This window comes from Homo sapiens, chromosome 8 (assembly GCF_000001405.40).
Source record: "Homo sapiens chromosome 8, GRCh38.p14 Primary Assembly".
Classification (NCBI taxonomy): domain Eukaryota; kingdom Metazoa; phylum Chordata; class Mammalia; order Primates; family Hominidae; genus Homo; species Homo sapiens.
Genome location: NC_000008.11, coordinates 26,746,976 through 26,767,171, shown reverse-complemented (window position 1 = coordinate 26,767,171; position 20,196 = coordinate 26,746,976). Strand labels below are relative to the sequence as shown.

General features: G+C 43.2%; 1 protein-coding gene across 9 annotated transcripts in view; it reads left to right on the top strand.

Annotated features, from left to right (window-relative positions):
• The window catches only part of ADRA1A (adrenoceptor alpha 1A), a 119,230-nt gene extending 100,208 nt beyond the window's left edge, over positions 1–19,022 (top strand). For 5 of the 9 annotated variants that reach the window (NR_136343.1, XM_017013094.2, XM_017013095.2 and 2 more), the window contains one exon: positions 18,424–19,022. Coding sequence is in view for 8 of the 9 variants with exons in the window: in NM_001322503.1 (NP_001309432.1) it covers positions 18,424–18,653 (230 nt within the window). In the remaining variant the exon portion in view is untranslated. Of the gene's footprint in view, positions 1–1,022; positions 1,319–10,392; positions 13,358–18,423 lie in introns of those variants that run through there. The other 4 variants (XM_006716293.5, NM_001322502.1, NM_033302.3 and 1 more) reach the window with 2 other exon arrangements.

Sequence of the window (20,196 nt, the reverse complement as noted above, 5' to 3'; positions counted from 1 at the left end):
GATAGGGCAAGTTTGAGTTTATTCTGACATTATGGGACAGGGAAAATTTGAGTTTATTCTGCAACTCAAACTGCATGCATTATGAGAGACCCTGAATCTCATTATTCAAAAATTTCCCCAGATTATGTCAAGGATTTCAGAAAAGCATTTTACTCATCAGTTTTCTTTCCTTTGCCTCTCTCATGTCTTATCCAAGAGGGTTTCTGCTTGTCGTCACATAGCATATCTAACACTCTCCAAAATATTCAAAAATAAATATTCCATGGTAGACAGTAGTGTTTGGGTAAATAAATATTCTCTTAAGATTTTTGTTAGGTCCTACAGTGTGCCAGGCATCTTCAGGGAATTTTGCACCCATTGCCTCTAAACTCCTTGGAAACTCTGCTACCCCTATTTTACAGATAAAAATCTGATCATTGTAAGAGGTTAAGGACTTGCCCAAGGCCAAGGGGAACCATGATTTAAACCTGGGTCTCCCTATTCTCAACCTGCACATTTTCCATAGCCCCCCTTCCTCAAGAGAATGGGGGTAAACGTTTTCCCATTTGGATTAGGTGTGCTGAGGATGCCAAGCCATATCCAAACTTTTTAATGTTCTGTTTCCTTGAGATTTGCCTCCAAATTAACCATGGCAAACATGCTGCCAAATCTCCAGCCCAGTCAAACCCAAGAGCAGGGCATCTGTGGAAGAATTTGGTGTCTGCACTTCTATCAGACTGCATCACATTTTTAGGAGTTAATGGCCTGGAATGTGATTAAGGCCTTGCAAGGAGGACATACTATGGCACGCTGGGGGAAGATGGGCATAGAAGAGTATGCAGAAGGGGCCACATTGGCCAAGAACAGTAAAATGCAGTTGCTGACAGGACACATATCGGGTGTTGTATTGAAGTTATTGATGACCAACCACAGTTCATAGAAACACTTTTGGGAAGTACATCCCTTTTAAAAATAAATGAAAGCAAATACGACATAACTCACTCTCACTCACCTGTATTCCAACTTTTTTTTTGTTTGGACAGAGGGGAATGGATTGTAGATATTTCACCAAGAATTGCAGAGAGCATATCAAGCATGTGAATTTTATGATGCCACCGTGGAGAAAGGGTTCAGAATGCTGATCTCCAGGTAGCTGGAGACCTAGGCAGTCTGCAAATGAGGAGTCAGCTGGAAGCTATGGCTATGTATTATGTGACATCGCTTGTTCCTAAGTGAAAACTGGATATCCCAACCTTCTGGCCCAGTAGGTTTCATGGTTAAGACCTGGTAGTGAGAACATTTTAGGAACTATTTGCTTGGGCAGGCAATTTTTCACTCTGATCACAGCTACTTAATCAGAGCTTGACAAACTTTCTCAATTGCTTCTGGGGCTGGTCTGCTCAGGTCCTTTGGCCAAAAAAGATGCTGCCTCTGTGTGTGAATACTTGTTGACTTAATTAAAGAAAGAGCTCTGCTCATTAGCAAAGGGCACTGAAGCAGATGGGAGGTAAACTCTCCAAGGAAAAACCAAGTGAAAAGAAAGCAGAGGAGGCAAATATGGAGACATCAGAGGTATGCCTACCAGTTACTCTGATTTTTTTACACTACTAGGACTTTTAACTATGAAACCACCTGCGCACAGCTCCAGTGGAGCCCAGTTGGAACACTGTTTGCACCTGCCCCGTATCTGCAGACTGTGCTGGGGAGCTGGGCTGAGCCAGGCTGCTGTGGTGCCAACCATCTTCAGAAAGCAATGGCAGCTGTGGCCTCCTGGCCCTCCAGAACCCCTGGGAGCAGAATGAGTGGAGATGATCACTGTGGGGCTAGGCTGACAAAAGCAAGTTAGAATTTCAGTGGAGGACACCAGCCCTGCTCCCATCAGCATTAGCTCATTCACGCTCCCCAGACCCAAATGTGGAGGAGGGGTTGAGAATTGGCCTTATCTGCTCTATTCAGGAAATTGTCATTTCTGCTTTGCTGCTGCAACATGGATTACTGGTTCTCCCACCTAAAAGGAAGGTTGTGGGGTTTGGGGTTAGAGGGGTTTAGGAGCAGGAAGATTTACCATAGACGTCGCTTAAAGCAGGATGGTTGAGTCATGGCTTGCTGCAACTGATAAGCAAGGAACTGCCCTAAAGATTGTGGCTTATTCATTTCAAAAGACAAAATAATTGCCTTTCCTTTTCGTGTGGCTCAGGAGTTATTACTTTACTTTTTCTCTCTCTGTATCATATTCAGTGCAGCCACGTTATAAACTGGAAATGATTATTACTAAACTATAAAAACTACAGACTTAATTAGGCAGAAAATCTAAGAGCAAATGTACACTGTATTTTGAGAAAAAAATGACGGCACTGGCTTCTTCAAAAGCCGGATCCTGTAGGTGCATTCAAACGCAGTAGAGAGAAAGCTAAGACAGAAAAATCCCAACTTGAGTTTAATATTTCTGTCCGTTTATATAGCACTTTATGTTTGTCAAAGTAATTGTGCCTATCTTAAGTCATCCCTGTGCAGTAGAAGGAGAAGGAAGAGATTATTACCTACACTTTAGCATATAAAGAAAAGAGGAGGTGGGAGATTTAAGGGTTTCTTTGAATATCCCCAAATCCAGCCTCCGACTCCTTTTTCCATGACACCTCCATGTTTCCCAGGTCCACTGTGTTTCTCGACACTCTTGACGTTCATATCTCACTCATTTGTCCCTGACCTATAATTCCAGCTCTATTGGCACTTTCTCTCCTGCCTTATCTCTGCCATGGCTGGGCAGCATGTCACTGTTCTAGGGGCCGAGGGCAAATTTGTCTATGCTTCTGTCATTGACTGACAGACAAGCACATGTGATTCTGTTGTTTCTCCCTAGATGGCAGCAGCAGAGCCAAGGAAATAGGCAGGGCAGGAGGCTCTTGGTTTGCTCCACAGGGTGACATGTAAGGCAGTGATTGCCACCTTAATGTCCTCAGGAACGTAGAGGTCCCAAAGGGAGTTTGGGAAATAATTCTTTTCCCGGTCAGCCTGTGGGTCATTGCATACCCACTGGTCATCAGCAGCAGCAAACAACCTCTCCTGCACCCCGCCCTGCACTTGGCATGAAAAACACAGAGAGGCACAGAGAGTCCCCAGCTTACAAGCTGGATAGAGTTCAAGTTCATCTGTTTCAAAGTCAAGAATGCATTTTTCCAAGAGGCATTGTTATAAATGGGGGAGGGGGAGGATGTTCCCAGATTAACCAAAAAATAAAAATCTATTTAATGTATATTAGGAGTTTGCAAACCTTTTCTGTATGTGACTAGATAGTAAATATTTTAGGCATTGTGGGGTCATACAGTCTCTATCACACATTCTTATCTGTTTTGACTTTTTGCAGGGAGGGGGACAACCCTCTAAAATGTAAAAACCCTTCTTCTCTCAAACAAAACAAAACAAACAAAAAAACAGGCTGCAGGCCGGAGTGAGCTCATGGGCCGTAATTTGCCGTCATGATCTATGCCGTTACTAGCTAACAGTGTAGTACAGATGATGCTAAACAATAGGTTTCGGTGTTCCACATACAAATATTTTTTTCATATGCCATTGACACAACTCCACTTGGCTAACCTGCATGAGTCATTGGATAAAGTGGCAAGTCCATATTCAAAGTGGCCCCACTCCATGAATTGTTGTGACCTTCCAAGCAGGTATCAGGATAAGAGGTGAGCATCCGCCACCCCCACTGCTGTCATCTGTAGAGCAGAAAGGTCCACTGGGGCCCAGGTAGCCTCAATATCATTCAGCTCCTCACCTCATCAGGGAAACCCCCACAGCACAATCTGGCTGACCCTAAGAGTAGCAACAATAAATACACACCTCCTGACCAAGGCCAACCTGAAATTTCTCCCAGACCCTTGGGACCTGCCCAAGTGGAAGTCCCCAGAGGACCCCAAGAGAATTTCAGGGCCACACTTGGCTCCTTGGGAAGGCCTCCTGGACATGGCACCCCACACCAGGGCATTTGAGGGCCTGCCTGGAGCTCACCAAGGAGAGCCATGGGGTTCAGAAAGCATGCTGGGTATGAGGGGCATTTCCAAATGACAGATAGGATGCAGAATTTCTCTCCTCCTTTTTCTCTTCTTCCTCCTCCTCCTCCTCCTCTACTTCTTCCTTCTTTTCTTATTTTTCCTTTTCCTTTGACTAACTGGAATAGAAATGATATTACTATGGGGAAGCATATTTAGCCCTCCCCTAAGAATACCAGATTCATGTTTCCCTGAGCTGACACACTTGTTGGAGGGACCTCTTGTTCCTTCCTCTCTCCAGTCCTGATGGGCAACGAGGAAGAGAAAGACTCTCCCAATCAGAAATAAGGTGCAGTTCCTGCAGCCGAGGGCACGGTGTTCACAGTGTTGAGAGAGGAGGCTCCACAGCAGAGCTCTGAGATGGGGCGTGGATGGTGGTGGGTGCAGAACTGATATGGAAGAACCTGGAAATACTGAGGCCATTAAGTAATCTGTGACCTTTGGCTGATGCTTCATGGCAGCTTTCCCTCCCTTCCCTTCTTCGTCCCCTGTTTGGTCTTGGTCCTGTGCCCTTTCATCTTTCCCATCTCCTTTCTTGATCCCATCCTCTCCATTATTCCACTCTCCCCTTCTTGCTAAACTTACAAACAGTGAAAGAAGCTGGGGTGGGTGCCCTTGCTCCAGAGGGTGCCATTTCCCATGGAATCCATGCTCCATGCATAGCTCTGAGTGATGAGATGGGGCTGCTCTCAGCAACTCCATCCTCTTCCCAGGTCAGCCTGATTCTGTGAGCTCCAGGCCCACAGCTTCCAGAGAGCCCAGGGCAGGAGACAGTGCCAGGAGGATGAGGACATTCTGAAGGCCCCCAATGACTTTTACCCTCTGCTTGCAGTGCTGCCTTCCTGTTCTTACACAATTACTTCCAAGTGAAAGGTACAAACAACGTGCAGCCACATTTTGGAAAAGAGCTGGTGGTCAGAGTGGGTGGCTGCAGTATTTCTATGAGCCTCCCTGGTGTGCACCTCTTACCACTCTCTGATGGTTCGAAAGTCTCTACTGAGCCCAGCAAAGTAACCTTCTCTTTCTCTTCTTCTGCATCTTCTGTCTCTTTCCTTTATTGTTCCTTTCTTTTTGACTTTCCCCCTTAGGAGTGCCTGAGGGTCTTCAAGGCCTTGATTAATCCCATAAAGTAAACCTGGTTTTATGTTAGCATTGAGCAATGCTTAACCCATCGGAATGTATACCCTAAGCAAAACTGTCAACCAGGCAAAGGGTGTTCTTTCTCTTCTGGCGCTCTGCTCTTCGTCCCTGTCCCCAGCAGCCCATCTGCTACTGGAACTTGTTCACAGAGTCCTTCTGCCAACTTATCATATTCTTGTTCCAGGAACTTTTCTGCTTTAAGTAAAGGATCTTCTCCCAACGAGTATGCTCCTGCATTTGCAGATACAGCACAGCTCCATGCATTTGTAGCCCTGCCATATTAGTGTCCTAGCCAATCATAACAAATGGGGTGGCTTCAAAAAGAGAAATGCATTGCCTCACCATTCTGGAGGTTGGAAAATCCAAGATTAAGGCGTTGGCTGGTTGTTTCCTGTGAGGTATCTCTCCTTGACTTGTAGATAGATATCTTCTCCCTGTGTCTTCACTTGGTCTTTCCTCTGCATTTCTCTGTCCCAATTTCTTCTTCTTATAAGGACACCGGTTTTATTGGATTTGGGTCCACCCTCATCACCTTATTTAACCACACCATGCCTTAAAAGGCACTATCGCCGAATACAGTCACATTCTGAGGTCCTGGGGACTTCAACATAGGAATCTGTAGGAGACTCATTTGAGCCCACAAGGACTCCCTCCTCACTCTCTCATTTCTGCCCATACAAAATGTTATCCATAATTCTTTTCCCAGATTAGAAGTTTAAATTCAGCCATTTCTGATCATCCCAATTTCTCTCCAAGTTCTTACAGCAATTGTCTGTAGAATGTATTTGGCAACTAATTCTGTACTCTGTTGTAATTTTTCTGTTGTTTTTTAAAGTTTATATCTATTTAAAGTATTTTAAAGGGTACCTTGTATATACTGTACTTATATAAGTTCTGTCTTCTCAACTAGAGGAGAACTCCTGGATGGCAGCAATGGTCTGTCACTTAGCATGCCCATGACAGTACTCCAGCCCCTAAGCAGGCATGGAGAGAGGGGTGCACAGCAGAACAAGTAATAAGATCCAACCACTAGTTACAGATAGCAGCTGGGAGGCCAGTCCCCAGGGACCTGGAAACATCAGAAGATCCACCCAGAAAGGCTCAAGTTGATGACCCTGAGGATTCTAAGGGACAGTAAGATCCCAGTTAGGTGTGCAGAGCACAGCAGTGGGGAACCCCAGGTCAGCAGTGGGGAATCACAGCCATCTCGAGTCAGGTGGGCATATGCTTACCCAGAGACATTTGCACCTGAGGAAGCAGAGCCCCATCATTAAATAGGACAGACCCTAGACTCCGAGAGGAGGGTGAGGCAGAACAAGATGGGATAAGAACCAACAGCAGAGCCCAATCTTGGGAACTGGGGCATTGAGGACCACATGAGAGCCCTGTGATCACCCTGGGGCACCCGTGCCAGTGATAGGTGGGTTAAGGGTATGTCAGTGCTGTCTGCCCTGTATCATGACTGGCTTGAAAAATGGGTGCCAAGGAGCCTCATGTAGTTTTCCTCTACTCTTCTCATAGTCTAAGAAAGACAGAAAAGAGGAAAGGAAGCTGCACTGTTTGGATTTGATATGAGGATGTAGACAGCCAGGCCCTGCTAAAAGCTCTCTTAATTTCGACCTTCTGAAGACCACCTCCCACTCTTAAAGCCTAAGCCTTCATGAGCACAATGAGACGGTCCTGCTGCCCTGCCACCCACTCTGCCTGGTCTCAGGGCATCCTGGCCTGCACACCTTGTGCCTCTTGAAAAATCCCATGCCATTTCCACTTAATCACCCAACCCAAGACCCTTGTATTGCCTCACAGTGTTCCCTGACAGACACAGAGTGATATATTCTCTTCTGTCCTGGTTCCTGCTGAGAAGCGAGGAGCATTTATCCTCATTTGGAAGAATCAGGACTGTTCTAACTGCATAGTACCTACTGTTGTGTTTTCTGGGCAAGACACCATGCCGCTGTGGCCTCCTATCCACCTCCTTCCTCCCTGGGGACTCTCAGGTTGCAAGTATATCTGGTTCCACAATATCAATCACATCAGAACACCCTTGCTATCTAGAGTCACGTGATGCACCAGCTTCAGTCCAATCTAGAAATGACAGGGGGAAAATCACATCAAAAGGCAAAGCCTACAAAAGTATTCTGTCTTTTCAAGCCCAAAAGCCATCCAAAACCAAGTTCGAATAAGTGTAGCAATGGCTTATTGATTTATCTTTAAAAATTGCGTTTCTTCTCCTCCCTTGTCTTCATCCCTGTTGCTAAATGCAGCCTTATCTTTCTTAAGGAAAAGAGTTCGGCTAACTGAAGTCTCAAGGGATGGGAGGGCTGTGGCCCATTAATCAAAAGCTGAGCATCGGGCAGAGTACTTCGTGCCCCACAGTGCCTCCCCGAGTCAGTCCTGGAGTCATAACAGAGGTGACAGTGGTTGTAAAGAGCAGAGAAGGAGGAGACCTTGATGAATGTGGTGCTGAATGACAGCTTGAATCTACAAATAAGGATGCCCAAATTCAATCCGACAAGTAGGAAGGCTATTAAAAAGTACTTCTGTGAAGTATTTTGAAGATCAAAGCAAGCATTACAAATATTTAAATAACAATCCATTGCTAGTTTTCTACATACTTTAAAAAAAAAGAGTCATACTTTTATTGGGAAGTAATTGAATAAAAACTGAGGTCCCTTGCTTGCTTTCATCTCCATTCCCAGCAGCTTATCTGGCCCCGTCTTCCTCTTCTGAATACCATATGCAACCCTGATACCTAAACTTCAACAAGTGAGAGCTGACATTTGTGCAACAGAAATTCTGCCTCAGTATTTAAAGCTGAATCAAAAACACATGCTTTCTTCATCAGATGTGAGAGAAAACAAACTATTTTTATCTCTGGGTATAACAAGTCACAAGCAATTCACTCTCCAGTATTAACACAGAAACTTAATCCAATATTCCTGACAACGAAATCATTTTGCTGCCTATAATGCATCCATGATGATTTACAAAGATAAAGTTTAAATAGTAAAAATTGTATTTTCAGAGTATCCACTACATGCCAAGTTTTTGCACATGATATGGTAAGGTATGAGATTTCATAGTCACATTACAAAAAAAAATTTTCCCAGAGAATAAATACAACATTATGGGTATGAGAAGAGGCAAGTAAGTCAAGTCTGCAGGGAGTTTTGAAAAAGAGAAATACTGGAAAGAGCTGCGCTCTCTTGTGTGTTCTCCTGGTGTTCTCCTGTGCTCACCTCTTAGCTTGCTAAACGTGACCTTCCCAACTCCACCCCAATGCCCATGCTAGGAAGGGCACTGGAAGGACCTGGAAAATGGTGTTGAGAGAAGACCGATGATGGACTGGGAACCACGGGCCTGGGCTTCATTGCAGTTCCCATCTCTGTACCTATTTAAGTGGCCCTGAACAAATCACGTGACCTCTCTTGAGCCATTTTCCTCACCTGTGAAATGGGATTAGCAGATACAATTGTGTACATGAAATGCCTTATGAGGTGATAAAGCTATAAAATCATAGTAGGCCCCCTATAAATGCTAGCACTCTATTCCCATCTTCATTTCCCCTCTCAAATGCCATCTGAATAAGACACAACTAAAAATTAGATCACCTTTAAAGTATCTTCAAGCACTGAAAGTGCCATGTGCAGGAAGAGAGAAAATAAGTCCTTCACTTTCCTTTGCTCTTTATCTCACTTCAGGTTTACATTTCCAGGAGCTGGTCATCCCCACCTGAAGACATTCATTTCTCTGTAATTAGAAAGCAGGTCACAAACTACCTGCTGCACCGCGGCTCAGGTCCTGTCATTCCTACATTCAAGGTGCTAGGCACTAAATCCCAACTCTCAGTTATTCCCCACACCACACTATTTTCTTTGGGTTGGAAATATCCCCACCTGGAAAATTTGTCTTAGCTTTTAAAAATCAGGCAAACTACACTACTTTGAAGATTTCCACCAAGCTCTCTGAATTGTAGACAGCCCAGAACAAGAGTATCCAAGGCTGGCGTTTGTCATCTTCCTCACATTGGCTACTTACTTAGCAATAGAAAGTATATTAAGTTATCATAGTTGTCCTATGAAAGATGCTACATAAAATGCAGTCATTATAGAAAAGGTGTGAGTGTCTGCCTGTGTGTGTGCGTGTGCTTATATAAATGATGTTATGGGAAAGAGAAGTAGTTTTGACCACTGGAAGACAGTACAGCATTTGAAGCAAAACTAAGATGTAACATCATCTAAGGAAATATGGGATGAACACCTCTTGGCGTGGGCAACTACTGGAAGTAAATGTTTACAAGCCAAAACCACAAATTCCCAATCATGAACAGAGGTCGTTTTGACTTCACTGCAAATTGAAGATCACCATAATACCCCCAAAGCCTGGCTTTCACATCATACAAAGGTCACACCTCATGCTACATTGAAGCATATGAAAGAGTGTCTGCTTGTGTTACAAACCTGATGGAGCAGAGGTGGGGGGTGGGGGAAATGGAAGCAAAAGGGACAGACTTGAAGCTGTACTTCCAGACTCTCATGGAAGCTCCAGGTCACAATCTTAGTTCTAATTTCAGGTTCTGCCAGTCGAGTCTAGACATTTCTGGGGCACCCTTTAAGTGGTCTCCAGCAGCCTTCTAGGCAGGTGGCTTCACAGGGAAGTCCACACTGCAAGCTCAGCTCACCACGACTCAGGCTGACGGGGTAGTCAGCCATGCTCGGAGGCTGAATTTGGCAGGGACTTGCTGCCATCTCCCTGCCAAATGGTCTCTCGTGACTCAGAATCTCAAACTTGTTTTAAAGAGAGGAAAAAAAGTCACTTTCGGGGATGAGGTTCTTGGCCCAACTCTGCTTTATATAAACACAGTCTATGGCTATTTCAGTCTTCTGGATTTTGAGAAGCAGCTGCAAGGATGAACGGATTGGTGTTGGCCCAAATTAAAAAGAAGAGTATTCAGTTCTTTCAGTGTTTGGAGAAAGAAGACCAAAAGCATCATCTCACAGGGAGCAGAATGTGACCAGCCTGGCTAATGAGGAAATGAGAGGGATCCTCAACTTGAGAACCCGCTCTACTGAAGTCTGAACTTGGAAAAATGGACACATTGGGTTTGGAGTAAGAATTCTTACTCTACAAAAGGATAAAATTGTGATCACATTGATGCATGATGCCTAGGATATTAAAAATGCATGATTAATTAAATGTTAGTCTACCTTGTGTTTTAAAGGGACACACACCCATGACATGAAGCCAGCTTCCCGTCCACGACTGTTGTCCTTACTGCCCAAGGAAGGGGAGCATGAAACCCACCACTGGTCCTGCGACCCACTGTCTTTGGAATCCACCCCAGGAGCCCAGGAGCCTTGCCTGACACTTGGATTTACTTCTTTATCAAGCATCCATCTGACTAAGGCACAAATCCAACATGTTACTGTTACTGATACAGGAAAAACAGTAACTTAAGGAATGATCATGAATGCAAAGGGAAAGAGGAAAAGAGCCTTCAGGGACAAATAGCTCGATTTTTTGTAAATCAGTTTCATACAACCTCCCTCCCCCATTTCATTCTTAAAAGTTAATTGAGAATCATCAGCCACGTGTAGGGTGTGAGGAATTCCATAAGGCACCCCAGTTTCTTCAATAAGTAAATGGCATTTTTAAAAGGGGAACTTTTATGGGTTAAAATATTCTTAAGAGATGTATTCATCAAGTATACTGTACAAGCCTTGTTCATTTAGATTGAAACAAAGTGTAAAAAGACATTTTTGAAGTAATTGGAGAAAATTAAGCATAGGCTGTGTCCTATTAGATGTTAGATAATTAGATCGTTATTTTAAATTTTGTTGGATGTGATAATGGCATTGTCCTTAACTGGTAAGTGCATATCGAAGTATGTTTGCAATTTGCTTTAAAGTTTTATTGCCAAAAGTGGGGAAGCAAGTGTGATAGATGAAATAAGAATGGCAGGCAAGGCCACATGCCGTTCTTCCATGTTTGTGCATGTTTGAAATTTTTCAGAATAAAATATTTTAAAAGAAAAAAAAAGTTAGGCACATTTAACTTGTAAAAGTTAGTGTCCCTCAAATTCTAGAACATTCATAGACATGAAAATCACCCTGCAAAACAAAATCCCCTTCGTTCAAAGAGAGCTGCTCTTGCAGTCTCTGCTCTCTCATTTCTTTATTCACTCTATAATATTCAGTGTGGGGTTACTGTGCTCCAGCGCCAAGTCCAGGGGGTGGAGAATAACAAGGGCAGAGACATAGTCCTTGCCCTCCAAGCACCTGTGATGGTAATACAGTGCCATGGGAGCTTGGTGAAGGGCCTCAGCCGGCTGCAGAGTTAGGCTTATCAAAAGTGGTGATCTCTACGGTGAATCCTGGAGGACACAATGGGGTGGGGAACAGAAACAGTTGTTCCAGGCAAAGAAGGGAGGAATCTGTGCCAAGGCCCAGGGGCTGGTGAACCTCAGGCGTGTGCTGGGGGTGCTGCCTCCTCCCAAATGTCGGGGCACAGGGAAGTCAGTCTCGCTTATCATGGTGGCCACTTGGCTCTACAAACCCCCATTGCCCAAGTCCCCACAGGCAAACCACACAACTGCTCTTCTTCTCACTCTTTTTTTTAAGCCAAGAAAGAACTCACTGAAACAGCCAGTCAGTCAGGGATGAGTCCAAGGCTTTCCTGACAGAGTGACCATGTTTGGCTTGGCTGAAAATCACAAAGCCTTGGTTTCCCAGTTGCGTGATTCTCTTTGTTCTCAAGGCTTAGTGCAGCATTACAGTGGGATGGCTAAACAGAGAAAAAAAAAAAAAGGAGGTCTATTTCTTTCTCTTCATACAAATAAATATTTGCCCAAGAATGGAAGTGCTTAATTCTTAAGAATAACCAAATGCTTTGGACTTCTTAACAAGCAAATCATATACAAAGCAATTCAGTGTTCCTACTAATTGAGAAATTGTTTTTAGCAAGAAGATGTTATGCAGCATGTTTTTAAAAAACAAGTTTTTCCAACAACAACAACAACAACAAAAAGAAAAAACAGAAAATAACTGAATCACTATAATATCCCCAAAGGCTGGCTTTCACACCATCCAAGGGTCACAGCTCACGCTACATTGAAGCGTATGAAAGAGTGTCTGCTTGTGTTACAAACCTGATGGAGCAGAGGTGGGGCAGGGGGGAAATGAAAGCAAAAGGGACAGACTTGAAGCTGCACTTTTGCAATCAACTAACAGTTAGGAAGGACTTGACTTGCTGGGGCTAAGGAAAACAAATCTGGAGGTTCATTTTGCCTGTGAAATTAAAATTATACTTTAGTAAATAAAGCTGACGCCATTTAACCATGAACCCGGTGACATTTCCTGGCTTGCTGCAGCGTTTCTGCTTGTCTCCTTGTTACATTTGTTTAAAATACAAACACAGCATTTCCATGTTGCCAGAGAAGCAAATGTGGGCTGACTGGCTGATTTTAGCTGCTATGGTTTTTCTGTAACCTTTAACAATTGTTGTGACAAATAAGATTCCATGTAAGGTGCAATTTCTAACTGTGCAGTGTTTGTGAACCACATCCACCTTCTCCAGGTTTGGTATTTGGTCGACTAAGTTGACGATGTCATTACCTTTCCTTCCATTTAAAAAAAAAAGTTAATCTGAATCGTGCTGAGAGTTTGGTATGCACGCTATACTATTCAAGGGAGCATTCTCTTCTGTGTCAGAATAATATATTTATGTGTGTGAATCATTATACTTGAATTTGTGGCAACATTTTGTATCAATGAATATATATGACACCCAGGCTGACTACAATGGCTTCAAAGAGTTTAATTTCTCTTAAATGGACTCAGTATCCTTGGAATGTGCTGTTTAAGTGTTTCTGAATTTTCTACACGCCATTTTTACAGGTCCATCTGTTTATGATGTGATGAGATAAACAATCACGTTGATTTTATGTTTCTTTTCAAAGAAAATGAATGTATATAGTACTAAGCAGATGAATAAATTATTGAAAAAATATACTTCATGGATCATGCCCACTGATAAAAATGAATTTATTTTATTTGTTGAACAAACTGACTGTTCAAATTATAAGAATTTATATTGTCCTTATTAATATGAATGCCATCTATTTAAGTGTTGTTCAATATTGATATGTGTTCTCTAATAAAATATTTTAAACCTCTTTCTTTAAACACATAACACCCTAGTTTTTCAATCATGGTGTGTTGTTAATGTCTCTTGAGAAATGGAGTGGGTAGTGCAAAGAAAATTGGTGTCTTCAGCGGGCTAAATGAGGTAGATTGTAATAGTTTGCAAAGTGTCTTTTGCTTTTTGGATGAATAGGTATTAAGATTTATTTTAAGACTGTCTTCATTTATCCGTTTGTAAGTAGCATTTTTTTGTGATAGAAATAACTCATTCATTATAGAAAATGTAGGAAATAAGTAAATAAGTATAGGAAGAGCAAAATATAAGGTGCCTTTAAGTTTACCTTCCAAAGACAACACTTTATTATTTTCTTCAAGAATCTCATTTTTATATCCTCACTTTAAAAAAAAATAGAAAGTATACTGCAAAACAAATAACAATAAATAGGGTAGATTGGACATAGGGTGTACAGGGGCCGCATTCAAGATACGGGCAAGGACCAGAATACACCTGGATCATCAGGTTTAGAGGCAGGTAGCAGGGGAAGGTGGTATTAGAAGTCAGGCACATGGTAATGTTGGATGTGTTCAAGACAGGACATATTAAGTTACCCATAGCCAAGGCAATAGGTTATGAGGGCCGAGGTCAGAGAAGATCACAGACAACACAGCTGTGTTTTGATGATGAGTTCTTTGATGGAGGTTCTTCTCTAGCCATGGGCTCAGAACCTGAAAGCCTCAGGGCTACCCTTTCGGCCCCACTCCCTCAGTGGGACTCCTCAGCAATGTGGTTTCCTCCTTGGGGACATGAACTCTGGAGTCAGATTGTCTGGCAGCTGTTATAGGCTCCTAATTCCCTCAACCACTCGCCACTTAGAAGATCTCAAGCCAATGTTTCAACATCTCCAAATCCTCATTTCCTCTTCTCAAAAATGAGAACAATGACTACTGTACATCATTAGAGGGCTTCTGGGCTAATGAAATAAAACCATGAAGTTAAAGATTTAAGGAAATGCCTGCCGTATAGTTAGCACTCAGCAATTACAGGTTGTTCTTTTTCTCAGTGATCTTGCTAGGGGGTTTTTGTGGCTGTCATTTTGACTATCCACAAAGCTGAGCATCTGCTTCCTGGTGAAGAGGGATCATTATTTTCCACCCAAAGTCCTTGGCATCTAAGTCAACTGATAGTAATACAGGAGCTAAAAAGAAATTATTTAGGCAGTTAGGGCAAAAGAGCTCTCAGTGGAATTTCCTTTTAATAAAAAGCAGCCCCAAAATAATTTCTTTTCTAACAAAAAGCAGCCTGAAAAATCAAGCTGCAGGCACAGATAAGCAAGCTTGAAGCTTGCATAGGTAAATGCCGGCAGCTGTACCAATAAAAAAGGGATACCTGGAAGCCAGTTATATTCAAAATGGAGGTTTTCCCTTCCCTTTTCTTTGTTGCCACATGTGCAGGTAACATGGCACAGGCCAGGTAAAGACCTCATTTGCATAATAAAAGATTAGGGTGGGATGGCCAGCCTCCTCTGGTACTATGTAAATAGCACACCTGGTCCAACCAATCCACTATGCCCCATGTAAATGAGACACCGCCTCCTCAAGCTCATCTATAAAACCAACCAATAAAAGTGGCTCACACAATAAGAAAATTGTTAATACCATTATCAATACTTTGGCCTGAAAACATGCATCTTTACCAAAATGCTCTCCAGTCAAACTGCCTGGGTTTGAATCCTATCTAGTGATTTGTTAGAATGTTTGCCAATGAGCTCTCTGGAAAAAAAAAACAAAATTGCCACATGATGTGTGGCATTTTGTCAATTTTTGTGGTGTAAATTATCCCACAATGGCCAAATTCAAGGTAGCGACATGATGTTGTTGAACACACTGTTGGGAAGAGGTGTGCACAGTCAGCTCTCAAGAGCCTGTACAAGCCAACTTCAACACTCCACTGATCCCACCCATGCCCCTTAGCAGCATGTGACCTAAGCCAACCTGAGTGTTCATTTCCTTACCTGTAAAACGAGATAATAATAGAAGCTTCCTCATTGGACCGATACATGTAAAGAATGTCTGTGTAGTTCATAATAAACATTCAATGAGTCTTAGGTGTTGTTGTTGCAATTGCTGTTATTGTTAACACAATACTGATGCCTATTGGCACAGATCACAGACATCTCAGAACAGCAAAAGTGTCCATCCACACACATTCCCTAGTAGATCAACTTTTCTGAGATATGTGTGGCAGTATTACAATCCTTTTTTTGGTCATTACATAGCACTTACTCCTTACACTCACCCATACTGAATTTGTTAAGTCTCTGCTTCAGACACCAAAGCTTTGGGGTTAACTCTGTTCCTTTACTTTTCAATTTTAAACAAAGTATTTAATGATTCTATGAACTAGTTTTCTTAGACAAAAGGCCTCTTAATGCCAAATCATCCTGCCAGCCTATTATTATTATTAATTCTCCTGTTTATAAATACAAATTGCCTTCAACAGAATTTATGAAAAACAACTCTTTTATTCTGTTGTGTAGGTGGAGGAAAAAATACTTTTTTCGTACTCACTCCCCACATGTTATTATGTTCTGATCCATATACTCATTTCAGAATTACATCTGCACATGGTAAACTAAACAAGTAAAAGCACTGCAGTATCATGAGGTTGGGATGGGCTCTGGGTTTCTGAATCCTATCACATACCACACTGCAGGCCTCATTTGCAGAAACTGTACCTAGAAGGACAAGAGCCAAATGGGAAACAACTTACAATTTTTTTTTTTTTTTTTTGAGACAGAGTTTTGCTCTTGTTGCCCAGGCTGGAGTGCAATAGCACAATCTCGGCTCTCCACAACCTCCGCCTCCTGGGTTCAAGTGATTCTCCTGCCTCAACCTCCGGAGTAGCTGGGATTACAGGCATGCGCCACCGCACCTGGCTAATTTTGTATTTTCAGTAGAGATGGGGTTTCTCCATGTTGGTCAGGCTGGTCTCGAACTCCCGACCTCAGGTGATCTGCCCGCCTTGGCCTCCCAAAGTGCTGGGGCTATAGGCGTGAGCCACTGCACCCAGCCTACAACTTAGAATTTTTATGAATCACCAGGAGAGCTGTGTTGCCAAAATTAAAGCATCTCTGCTGAGCTGCTCTGTCTCAGGGTTTCCTATACCCAACTTGCTTGTATCTAAAATATCCAGGTTTGAGGAATGCCACAGAAGGAATGTTTGTGTCCCTCCAAAATCCATATGTTAAAACATCTTTCCCATTGTAAAACTATTTGGAGGTGGGGCCTTTGGGAAGTAATTAGGTCATGAGGACAAAGCCTTCATGAATGAGATTTTTGTCCTTACAGGAAGAGACCCAGCTGGGTGTGGTGGCTCATGCCTGTAATCCCAGCACGTTCGGAGGCCGAGGCCAGTGGATCACTTGAGCTCAGGAGTTCGAGACCAGCCTGGGCAACATGGTGAAACCCTGTCTCTACTAAAAATACAAAAATTAGTTGGGCATGGTGGCACATGTCTGTAGTCCCAGCTACTTGGGAGACTGAGGCAGGGGAATGGCTTGAACCCAGGAAGCAGAGGCTGCAGTGAGCGGAAATCATGCCACTGCACTCCAGCCTGGGCAACAGAGCAAGATTCTGTCTCAAAAAAAAGAAAAAGAAGAGACCCCAGCCCAGACAGCTTCCTTGTCCCTTCTGCTATCTGAGGTTCCAGCGAGGAGACGGCCACCTATGAACCAGAAAACAGGCCTTTACCAGATACCAAATCTGCCAATGCCTTGCTTTTGAACTTCCCAGCCTCCAGAGCTGAGAGAAATAAATTTCTGATGTGTATAAGCCACCTATTTATGTTATTTTGTTACAGCAGCCCAAATGAACTAAGACAAGGACAAATTTCAATGCTCATGTGCCTCTAGCCCCATGAACCAAACACTAATGGAAAAGCTGAAATTGAGAGTAGAATCATGACCAGGCCTTCTTCTGGAAGGGGGGCCCTGATCGTAAAGCAATGGAGATAGGAAATGAGAGAGGAAGAGTGGAATCTTGCCCACTAAGAATACATGGTCCAAGAACAACCAGCCAGATTGTGCATTCCTTTTTGATTTGGGCTGGCCATGGAGGAGTCTTAAGGCCAAAAGATAGCAGTGAAAGCAAAGGCAGAAATTTCTTCCTCTCTGTGGGTAAAGGAGCAAATACAAAGAGAAAAGCAGACAGTCTTCCTGCCCTCTTCATATAAATGCCATATGTGGATATAAATTGAAAAGTAATAGTTTCACCAATCTCTAGTCCTAATCCCTAAAGGTAACCACCCTTACCATTTTATTGTGAGTTTACTCATTCAATGCATAGCTATTAAAGATTTATTACATGCCAGGCATCATCTTTGACCACATTAGTGAACAAAACAGAAAAACATAAGGCTTACTCTATGAAGCTAACATGCTAGAACATCTTCCAGAAATGCTCTATGAACATGCAAATATGTGGATTGCATAAATATCTTTATAAAAACAGAATGAGCCAGATATTGATTGGTTATATTAGATGCATCTCTATAGATCAGTGATTGAGCCATCAGCCCCTGATTATCTTAGATCCCTGGGTTGTTGCCATAACAAACACACCACAAAGTTAAAGAAAAGTCCAGTCTCCTGTCCTTTGGAAAGTTATAGTTTGATATTATGAGTCCTACAAAACAACTTTGAGAGCTTATTTTAGAGCTTCTAGTATTTTTAGGGGCCATGAGTGTGTTTCAATAGTGTTGTCACTGCCTAAAACATTTTTGAAACTGTTTTGAGACTGCCTTCAGAGTCAATTTATGTGTGATACCTCCCCTAACAAATTCCTTATTTACTTATTATTGCAAATAATACTAACCTTGACCACAAAACATCTTTCTCCAATACAAAAGGTGACACTCACCTGCTGAGGGGACAGCTTCAGAGGTCCTCTCTGGTTGAGTCCGTAGGTGACTGGTGCCAAGACATTGGCCAGGTCATCCTGTTGGCCAAATGCAAGCTGGGAGGGTGAAACCACTATAAAAAGCCATGCTGAATAAATTCAGTGGGAAAAATTAGGTCAATAGTTTTTCAACTTTTTTTTTTTTTTTTTTTTAGACGAAGTCTCGCTCTGTCACCAGGCTGGAGTGCAGTGGCATGATCTTGGCTCACTGCAACCTCCGCCTCCCGGGTTCAAGAGATTCTCCTGCCTCAGCCTCCCAAGCAGCTGGGACTACAGGGATGTGCCACCAGGCCGACGCCACCAGGCCCAGCTAATTTTTGTATTTTTAGTAGAGACGGGGTTTCACCATGTTGGCCAGGATGATCTCGATCTCTTGACCTCATGATCTGCCTGCCTCAGCCTCCCAAAGTGCTGGGATTACAGGCGTGAGCCACCGTGCCCGGCCCAACTATTTTTTTTTTTTATCTTTTTTAACAGTGCAATCCTTTCTGTGGATGAAATCTTGCTCAGAAGCTCAATATGCAAAAGAAAGAAAAACAGCAGGGCTGGACGGATGTTGGGAGTGGGGTAAGACCCCAACCACTCAGAACCACCCCCCCAACACACACACACATTCTCTCCATGGTGACTGGTGAGGGGCCTCTAGAGGGTACATAGTACACCATGGAGCACGGTTTAAGCACCACTGGACTACACATTCTTCTGTGGCAGTTATCTTACCTTCCCATAGACACCCAGCCCATAGCCATTGGTTAATAAAGGTTGTCCAAATGAGAAAGGGGATCAAGTAGTAAATCGCTGTTGAAGGGGTAGAAGGTGAGGGGCTCTCAAAAGAGCTCAGCATTTAAAGGAACCAACTAAAGAGCAATGGAAGACCCATTGGTCTTGATCTACCAAAGATCATTACCAAACAGTGGTTCGTATCTGCAAGAACGATTTCCTAAAGGTTAAAATCCAGAGCAGACAGAAGTTTTTGAAGGCTGGGGTAAAAAACAGATGGGGCATCCTAGCACTCTTTGAATTCACAACATGAATGAGTAGGAGGTAGCCCATGGTCTAGGGGAATGGGGTGATGGTAACTGATGACAGAGGAGGAGACAAATGCTCCATTTTCATTTTGCTCCCTACTCCTCCAGCGGAGATAATAATCGATTTGAAACCTAGGGAAGTAACCCACATGGATTAAGTGGACTTACATGGGAAGCATGACAAAGGCAGGTGCTGGGGTGTGGTCAGGAGGGCCTTGGCTCTGAAGCCACCCTTGAGGGTACCAGTAGAGGAACAGGACCTGGGAATGGGTCTCTGAAGTGCCTAAGTGGTGCTCTTCTCCACCTTCCCTGGGCAAGCCCTGAATACACTGATACGTACAGTTAGCCAACACTCAGTTATAGTTACCAGGGGCAGGCATTGTTCCAAATATTGTACATATACTAACTCGTATAATGCTCCCAACAGAACTATGAAGTAGTTTCTATTGTTTCCCTCCTCTTACAGAAGGAAAACTGAGGGTCAGTGGGGTTTAGGGGTTTGCAAAATTTTCACACACACAAAAAATGTTCACTCCAAGTGAGTGGCAGAGCTTGGATTTGAACCAAGGTACTTTAACTCCAGAGACCAATTTCTTAACCAATATGCCTCCCTAGACACTAGACTCTCAGTTTTATTCCCAGTAAAGAGTCAAGTTGAAGGACACAGCGGATAACTGTGGGCAAATGAGCTTTGTGAGGGGCTGCCCTATAAGCAGTGCAAAACCAGGGTACCCATACCAGGTGGGGTGTGGAGGAGTCTGCCCAAGGGTGACACAGCCTGGGAAAGCTAAAAGAAACTGCTGCTCCCTGGAGGCAGCTCATCCCAAAAGGACAAAAGGGGTCTTAGAGCTGAGCCTGCCAGTTTATTTATTCCAGATTCACCAATCGAATTAAGCTACT